The 9,620-nt window shown below is 49.4% G+C and overlaps 1 protein-coding gene across 1 annotated transcript in view; it reads left to right on the forward strand.

The window, feature by feature from the left end:
• Window positions 1-9,620, forward strand: part of ACOT11 (acyl-CoA thioesterase 11) — a 90,965-nt gene that overhangs the window by 75,326 nt on the left and 6,019 nt on the right. Inside the window, exon 16 of the mRNA NM_015547.4 lies at window positions 7,181-7,333. Within this exon, the coding sequence (NP_056362.1) occupies window positions 7,181-7,333 (153 nt within the window). The remainder of the gene's footprint in view (window positions 1-7,180; window positions 7,334-9,620) is intronic.

A 9,620-nucleotide genomic window follows, 5' to 3' on the forward strand; every position in this document is an offset into this window, starting at 1 on the left:
AACCCCTGAAGCCCCTCCTCCCTCCCCGCCCCAATCCTCTTCCCCACACCCTCCCAGGATCTTAACAGGCTAACCAGAATATCTACCATATCTAAAATGACCTTTGAGCACAGTAAGAGGCAGCAGAGAATGTTGGACCGAGCCCCGACCCCTGGCTGTCTGCCCCTGCTTGGGAGTCAGGAGACCAATCCCAGCCCCTGTTGCTTTTCTGGAGTCCTGGAGCAAGTGTCTGCCGGTCTCTGGGCATCATTTCCTTCCGTGTAAAAGGAGGCACTAGACTGGGTGATCCCGAACATTCTGTTCTTTCCCTTTCTAACTCCAGGCTTTCTGCCCTGCCCTCAGGGAATCCTGCATTATCAGGCAAGGGTGGTGACAAAGACAGATTAGATCTGCGTAAGGGGCAATAATCTTCCTTTCATCTGAGATTATGGTTAACAGATTATCTACCTGGGATAGAAATGGATAGTCCTGGCATGCTGGCATGGGTTACTGCAGGCCGGTTCTGGGGCAGCGAGTCCATGGGGAAGGGGCTGAGTCACCACTTCATGCAGAGGGAGTTCTGGGGGCCCTGGTATGGGAAGCAAGTTAGAGGCTGCCCCTATTCTGAGGACCCCAGAATTTAAACGAGTCCAGGAATCACCTGTAATGTGCACAGAGACTTCAGCGTCTACACATTGGGGCTCACAGAGAGATCTGGAATGTGAGGCTGTGATAGGCCACCCGAGGCAGAGCCGGGCAGTTGGTGGCTTTGATTGTGTGTGTGAAAGGGTGTCTAGAATGATGCCCAGGTGGGCAGATGGTCGGGACTGAGGGGTGGAGGGGCAGGGTGGGAGGGATTTTGGTCATGGGGCTTGTCGTGGGTCATTCCTGAGTCCATTTTCCTGCCTCGGCCTTCCCGAGGAGGGAACTGGATATAGAGGCTGTGGGCTCAGGACTGAGATCAGGGCCAAAGACAAGGGCATGAGCATCATTTTCTGGCCAAAGCAAAGAGAGAAAGGGATGGAGGCTGACTTCTGGGGACCACTGACAGGCGGAGAGTTGGAGGAAGAGGCATTAGTAGAGGAAAGGGGACAGCAGAGGGCGGTGAGGGGTGTCAATGGGAAGGTCAAGAAGAAAGGAGTGGTCAGCCAGGCTGGGAGATGGAGCCCTGTAAGGACAGCAAGGCCCCCGATGCTGGCCAGGACAGTTTCCCTGGATCAGTGGGGAGGGCAGAGGTCAGAGCAGAGCCTGTTTAGAGGGGCCAGGAAAGACCAGAGAGGCTGAAGGTACAGGAGGGAGAGGCACTGGGACAAAGTGAGGATGGGAGCAGGAGGACCTGGTGCTCAGGGGGTGCTATTCTGTAGGATGTGGGGAACGGTGGGCATTGTGAGTGGTGAGTCTGGGGGTGCTGGTTGGGAGGTGATGTGGTGAAGGGGGACAATGAGGGAGAGGTTTGAGGACAGGGAGGTTCTGTTGGCTGGTCGGGGCATGTGTGGTATGCCTACAGGGATCCAACGAGACCCAAGCTGTGGGCTGCTAGATGGACAGGACCCCATTCAACACCCCCTCCCCACCACTGTGTATATCCGGAAATGTGAGACTGTGATGGGCCACCTGAGGCAGAGCCAGCCCTGGAGCCCAGGCTCAATTCTCAGTTCTTGGAACCTCTGGAGAGAGGGAGATCTAGTCTGTCTGGGCTTCTGGCTCATTCTCCAAATCAACTCAACAAACTCAGCAGCTGCCAGGAGCCAGGCCCTGGTGAGGTGTCAGGGCTGCTGGCTGGAATGGAGCAGGGTCAGTGCTCTGGGGTCTGCTCAGGAGACAGTAAGGGGGCTGTAGACAAGCAGGAACATTTTTGTGAGTCCCCTTTCTTATTGGGGCTGCTCTCTCAGGCCACCCACTCCGGACTCCAGGATCCAAATGCTAACTGGGCCTCACCCAGATCCCTTCTGTAATAAGGCATGGAAGGGTGTGTTAACTGGGATATTATGATAGCCGCAAAAAGTTAACAGAATGACAGAAGCTACATCTCGAGTAACAACCACATATGCTTTACTCTACAGTTAAAGTCTAGAGGAAATTTCTGTTTAAGAGTTGGCCATAAAAAAGAAAAGAAAATGCTGAGCCAGGCGCGGTGGCTCATGCCTGTAATCCCAGCACTTTGGGAGGCTGAGGTGGGCGGATCACCTGAGGTTGGGAGTTCGAGACCAGCCTGACCAACATGGAGAAACCCCATCTCTACTAAAAAATACAAAAATTAGCTGGGCATAGTGGCGCGTGTTTGTAATCCCAGCTACTCGGGAGGCTGAGGTAGGAGGATGGCTTGAATCTGGGAGGCGGAGGTTGCGGTGAGCCGAGATTGTGCCATTGCACTCCAGCCTGGGCAACAAGAGTGAAACTCTGTCTCAAAAAAAAAAAAAAGAAAGAAAGAAAAAAAGAAAAGAAAAGGCCAGCATGGTGGCTCACACCTGTAATCCCAGCACTTTGGGAGGCTGAGGCGGGCGGATCACTTGAGGTCAGGAGTTTATGACTAGCTTGGCCAACAGAGTGAGACCCTGTTTCTACTAAAATACAAAAATTAGCTGGGCATAGTGGCACGAGCCTGTAATCCCAGCTACTCGGGATTACAGTACAGGCTGATGCAGGAGAATCGCTTGAACTTGGGAGGTGGAGGTTGCAGTGAGCCGAGATTGCACCATTGACCACCAGCCTGAGCGACAGAGTGAGACCCTGTTTCAAAAAAAAGAAAAGAAAAAAGAGAAAAGACAAGAAAAGAAAAGAAAAGAAGTCTAGAGGAACAACAAACCACTAGAATTATACAATGTGACTCCAGGGTTGTCCCCAAGCCCCATACTGATAAGTCTCACCTAGTCTGGCTTGCATTTTTTCTGCTTTTATTAATAATATTATTTGTGATTTCCTACAAAGTGTCCCACATTTTAATTTCATCCACTTGTCACACAACACTGCCAAATGACTCTCATGTCCCCATGTTGCAGGCAAAGAAATCAAGGCTTGGAGAGGTCGAGACTTGTCCCAAGTCACCTCTATGTTAAGTTCAAATGCAGGTCAGGCTGACTGTGGGCCTATCTGCCTGATTTTATCCATCTACTTGTCCCTTCTTATTCACACCCATTTACAATGGGACAGTCACTTATTTTGGCAAGAATATTTAACAGCAATGCTGGACAAATCTATTTTTGAAAGAAAAATCAAGAACTTAGTTCTTACGGTCCATGAGGGCACCCCCTGCACAAACCATTCTCATTTTGGAACTGCTGCTTATTTAGTGTTTGTGACACTCTTATGAAGGAGGCATTCTTTTATTTATTTATTTATTTTTGAGGCAGAGTCTTGCTCTGTTGCCCAGGCTGGAGTGCAGTGGCACAATCTTGGCTCACTGTGACCTCTGCCCCCTGGGTTCAAGTGATTTTCCTGCCTCAGTCTCCAAGTAGCTGGGATTACAGGTGCGCACCACCACGCTCAGCTAATTTTTGTATTTTTAGTAAAGACGGGGTTTCACCATGTTGGCCAGGCTGGTCTCGAACTCCTGACCTCAAATGATCCACTCACCTCAGCCTCCCAAAGTGCTGGGATTATAGGCGTGAGCCACTGTACCCAGCCGAGGAAGGCATTCTTATGCCCCTTTTTCACAGAAGGGAGCCAGAGTCAGTTTGCAGCAGAAAGGGATGCCCATGCCCTGTCATTCCAACTCCGCGGGCCGTGTGTCACCTGTCCTCCCTGGGAAAGAGGCCGGCGAGCCGAGCTCTGAGGCACAGAGCTTCGCCACTCTCTTGGTTCCAAAGAGCTCTGCAGGATGTCTGGGAGGAAAGAGACTTCATCTGGCTCTGGTTTTTGGCAGGAGGAACAGCCCTGGAACCGACTCCAAGCTGTGAAGACTCCTCCATTGTCTGTGACACTTCTCGTGGGGCATAAATTACTAAACAAGTTACTGAGCATGCATTCTGTGCCAGGCACTGTGCTAGGCTCTGGGGATCCACCCCGTGGCATACTGTGGGAGAGAAGAAAGCAGGGGCTGTCAGGGGGCTCCAGCATTTCAGATGTGAAACAGCCATTTTATTAATAGAGCTGGTGCACATCAAAAACACAGAGCAGGCTTATAGCCTGTAAGGATGTCAGACATGGAAAGTGGCAGTGGGCCCAGGTTGGGGCATGCAGGATGGAGAAGACACAGGTTAGAAACCCCAAACTCCTGGGTGGGCCAGGAGGCTTTCAGAAGAGGCTTGGCTGACTCGGAGAACCATCAGGGACGGGGGCTAGGGAAGACCTTCCAGACAAAGGGTGCAGTGTGTGTGGGAGAGGGCACAGGCATGAGGGAGAAGAGCCTGTTTGGGAGCGTGAGTGGTGTGGCTGGAGCAGCAGGTGGGAAATGTGGGGAGGCGGAGGGGGAGAGAAATGAGACTGGGGAGCCCCGGAGGCCTGGGTCACCCTGATAAAGAATTTGGCTTCAACCTGGATGGGTTGGGGAGCCCTTACCCATGGGATAAGCAGGGAGCGCCACACTCAGCTTGCATTTGGGAGGTGGCTGGAGGCTGGAGTTGAGAAATGGTTCTGGAGGCCTGACTGCCTCTGCATCCAGGCTGTCCTGTTTCAGCACTGCTCACCCCTGCACCCCGGCAGAGCCACAGGACTTCCCACACTGCATTGCTTAGAACAGCAAATGGCCCAGGGAAGTGTGTGCCTCAGGCTGTGTTATGTGGGTTACTCTGATACTCTCCCCACTCCCATACCATTGCATGTTACAGGGGAGGTGAAACCAGGGGTGGTTCAGAGGCTCCAACATTTCAGACATGGAGCTGTCATTTTTAGAACTGGTGGCTCACACCTGTGATCCCAGCACTTTGCGGGGCTGAGGTGGGAGGATTGCTTGAGCCCAGGAGCTCGAGACCAGCCTGGGCAATGCAGAGGGATCTCATCTCTACAAAATAAAAAAATAAATTAGCGAGACATGGTGGTGCATGCCTATAGTCCCAGCTACCCAGGAGGTGGGAGGATGGTGCCACTGTACTCTATCCTGGGCATCAGAGCAAGACCCCATCGCCCCCCCCCCCCAAAAAAGGAAAAAAGAAACCCATTTGCCTATTTTGACACTGTCATGAATTTGTACTGCTTAGGTGGTCTCAGCACTCTAAATGGTGGAATTTTATTTAAAGTAGTTTCATGTCGGTAGTGCCCCAAGATAACTACTACAAGCAAAAACATGTTTTATTAAGAGGAAGATAGAGGCTGGGTGCAGTGGCTCATGCCTGTAATCCCAACACTTTGGGAGGCTAAGGCGGGCGGATCACTCAAGATCAGGCATTCGAGAACAGCCTGGCCAACATGACGAAATCCCGTCTCTACTAAAAATACAAAATTAGCGGGGTGTGGTGGCTCATGCCTGTGATCGCAGCTATTTGGGAGGCTGAGGGAGGAGAATCACTTGAACCGGGGAGGCAGAGGTTGCAGTGAGCCGAGATTGTACTGCCGCACTCCAGCCTGGGCGACAGAGCAAGACTCCGTCTCAAAAAAAAAAAAAAAAAAAAGAAGAAGAACACAGCTTTAATCCAGGCCTCAAGGAATTGTGAGACAAAATTTCAGGGAAAATAAGCAGTTCCCTGTCAACAACCCCAAAAATCATAAGAAAATAAGGCACCATGGGTGAAAACCAAGAGATGATGTAAACAGCAGAATCAGACCCACAAAGTATTCAGAATACAAACTTATCAAAAGTAAAATAACATGGTTTTTTTCTTTTTTGTTTTTTGTTTTGAGATAGAGTCTCACTCTGTTGCCCAGGCTGGAGTGCAGTGGCGCGATCTCGGCTCACTGCAACCTCTGCCTCCCGGGTTCAAGTGATTCTCCTGCCTCGGCCTCCTGAGTAGCTGGGACTACAGATACATGCCACCACACCCGGCTAATTTTTTGTATTTTTAGCAGAGATGGGGTTTCACTGTGTTAGCCAGGGTGGTCTCAATCTCCTGACCTCGTGATACGCCTGCCTCAGCCTCCTAAAGGGCTGGGATTACAGGCGCGAGCCCCCGTGCCCGGCCTGTTTTTTGATTTTTTTGAGACAGTGTCTTGCTCTGTCATCCAGGCTGGAGTGCAATGATGTGTTCATGTCTCATTGCAGCCTTGACCTCCTGGGCTCAAGCTATTCTCCCACCACAGCCTCCCAAGTAGCTAGGACTACAGCTGTGCACCACCATGCCTAGCTAATTTTTTTGTGTGTGGAGATAGGGTGTCACTATGTTGCCAGGCTGGTCTTGAACTCATGGACTCAATCCATCCTCCTACCTAGGCTTCCCCAAATGCTGGAATTAAGGCATGAACTACCACACCCAGCCTGTTTAATGTTTATTTTTTTATTTTTATTTTTATGTTTGAGACGGAGTCTTGCTCTGTCGCCCAGGCTGGAGTGCAGTGGCACGATCTCAGCTCACTGCAAGCTCTGCCTCCCGGGTTCACGCCATTCTCCTGCCTCAACCTCCTGAGTAGCTGGGACTACAGGCGCCTGCCAACATGCCTGGCTATTTTTTTGTATTTTTAGTAGAGACGAGGTTTCACCATGTTGACCAGGATGGTCTCGATCTCTTGACCTCGTGATCCACCTGCCTTGGCCTCCCAAAGTGCTGGGATTACAGGCGTGAGCCACTGCGCCTGGCCTGTTTAATGTTTAAAGAAATAAAAAAAACAAGCCAGGTGTGGTGGTGGCTCACACCTGTAATCCCAGCACTTTGGGAGGCCTAGGTGGGTTTGGAGCAAGCCCCCCACAGTCTGGCCATAAACTGGCCCCAAAACTGGCCATAAGCAAAATCTCTGCAGCACTGTAACATGCCCATAATGGCCCTAATGCCCACGCTGGAAGGTTGTGGGTTTACGGGAATGACGGCAAGGAACACCTGGCCCGCCCAGGGTGGAAAACCCCTTAAAGGCATTCTTAAGCCACAAACAAAAGCATGAGTGATCTGTGTCTTAAGGGCGTGTTCCTGCTGCAATTAATTCGGCACATCCCTTCGTTTCCCATAAGGGATACTTTTAGTTAATTCAACATCTATAGAAACAATGCTAATGACTGGTTTGCTGTTAATAAATACGTGGATAAATCTCTGTTCCGGGCTCTCAGCTCTGAAGGCTGTGAGACCCCTGATTTCCCACTTCACACCTCTATATTTCTCTGTGTGTCTTTTAATTCCTCTAGTGCTGCTGGGTTAGGGTCTCCCTGACTGAGCTGGTCTCGGCAAGTGGCTTCTATTCCTGGGGGCTCGAATCCAGGTCAAAGGGTCGCAGGAGCGACGGTTGGAATGGAAAACTAGCTGGAGGACACCTGAGTACTCTTAAAGCAATCCCCGTGGTGAGTAAGAAGGGGAGTCCGGAAGCGTCAGGGTAACAATGGGATGGGTATGGGGTCTGGTTCGTTTCACCTTAGAACTTTTTCACACTGATAACGAGGAGGAACAACAGTATAGCGAAGTAACAGAAGAGGTTACAGAGCATGTTTATTTGCCAGCTGAAGCTAAAGCGGCAAAGGAAGGAGAGTTTCATCCCTACCCTTCTGCATCCCCTCATTATTATTTTGAAGAAAATGACTCCCCAGATCTTTCTTTTCCGGAGGACACTGGGCGAAAAGTAGTTGCCCCAGTGACTGTTCGAGCAGCGCCTTGAGCGACGTCTCTTAGTTCTATTCAGGCAGGAATTCAGCAAGCTAGACAAGAGGGTGATTTAGAGGCTTGGCAGTTCCCTGTTAGAATACACCCCCCAGATCAACAGGGAAGTATTACAGCTACATTTGAGCCTTTTCCTTTTAAATTACTCAGAGAATTAAAACAAGCAATAAATGAGTATGGACCAGGTTCTCCTTTAGTAATTGGACTGTTAAAGAATGTTACTGTTTCCAGTCAGATGATTCCTACTGACTGGGACGCTCTTACTTGAGCTTGTGTAACTCCTGCTCAGTTCTTACAATTTAAAACTTGGTGGGCAGATGAAGCTTCCATTCAGGTTGCTCGCAATGCCCAGGTCCAACCTCAAATTAATAGGACTGCAGACCAACTTTCGGGGGTTGGCGGCTGGGCTGGTTTCGATGCACAAGTGGTCATGCAGGATGATGCCATGGAACAGCTTAGAGCAGTGTGCATTAGAGCTTGGGAAAAAATCACTTCAGGTGGGGAACAATACCCTTCCTTTAGTGCTATAGAGCAGGGACCAAGGGAACCATAGGTTGATTTTATAGCTCGGTTACAGGAGTCTCTTAAAAAGATGATTGCAGATTCGGCTGCTCAGGATACAGTGTTGCAGTTATTAGCTTTCGACAATGCTAATCCCGATGGCCAGGCTGCTCTGCGACCTATCAGAGGGAAAGCACATTTAGTTTATTATATCAAAGCCTATGATGGTATCGGAGGTAATCTGCGTAAAGCTACCTTGTTGGCAATGGCAATGGCAGGACTGAGAGTGGATAAAGGAAATACTCCATTTCCTGGAGCTTGTTTTAACTGTGGGAAGCGTGGTCATACTAAAAAAGAATGTAGAAAAAATCAGCGAGTCAGGCCACCAGATAGGGGAAAAAAGAAAACTGCTGATCCTGAAATATGTCCAAAATGTAAAAAAGGAAAACACTGGGCTAGTCAGTGTCACTCTAAGTTGGATAAAGAAGGGAACCCAATTTCAGGAAACGCCATGAGGGGCCCGTCCCGGGCCCCGCTCTAAACCGGGGCGTTTCTGGCTCAGGCCATTCCCTCACCCCTGTACAATGTCTGTCCCCTGCCACAGCCGGTAGTGCTGCAGTAGATTTATGCTGCACAAAAGCTGTGAGCCTTCTGCCTGCGGAACCCCGGCAAAGGGTCCCAACAGGAGTCTGTGGACCCTTGCCAGTGGGTACAATAGGATTACTTTTAGGAAGGTCTAGTGTAAGTTTAAAAGGTATACAAATACATACAGGAGTCATTGATTCAGATTACAGTGGGGAAATCCAAATTGTTACATCTACTTCTGTTCTCTGGAAAGCAGAGCCAGGAGAGCGCATAGCACAGCTCCTGGTTGTGCCGTATGTGGGAATGGGAAAAAGTGAAATTAAACGAACAGGAGAATTTGGAAGCACAAATAAACAAGGCAAAGCAGCTTATTGGGTAAATCAAATTACTGATAAACGTCCTACCTGTGAAATAACTATTCAAGAAAAGAAATTTAAAGGTTTGGTAGATACAAGAACGGACATTTCACTCATTTCTGTACAGCACTGGCTGTCTGCGTGGCCAATTCAACCCGCTCAATTTAACATAGTTGGAGTTGGTAAAGCTGCTGAAGTATATCAAAGTAGTTATATATTGCATTGTGAGGGGCCCGATGGACAACCTGGGACTATTCAACCAATTATAACTTCTGTACCTATAAATTTATGGGGAAGAGATGTATTACAACAATGGGGAGCACAAGTTCTAATTCCAGAACAATCATACAGCCCTCAAAGTCAGCATACAATGCATGAAATGGGGTATGTCCCTGGTATGGGACTAGAAAAAGATTTGCAAGGTTTGAAAGAACCACTTCAAGCGGAAAAACAAAGTTCCCAGAAAAACAAAGTTCCTGCTAAAGATTAGGAAAAAATTTTTGGTGGCAGCCATTGTTAAGCCTCCAGAACC

Source organism: Homo sapiens, chromosome 1 (assembly GCF_000001405.40).
Source record: "Homo sapiens chromosome 1, GRCh38.p14 Primary Assembly".
Classification (NCBI taxonomy): Eukaryota; Metazoa; Chordata; class Mammalia; order Primates; family Hominidae; genus Homo; species Homo sapiens.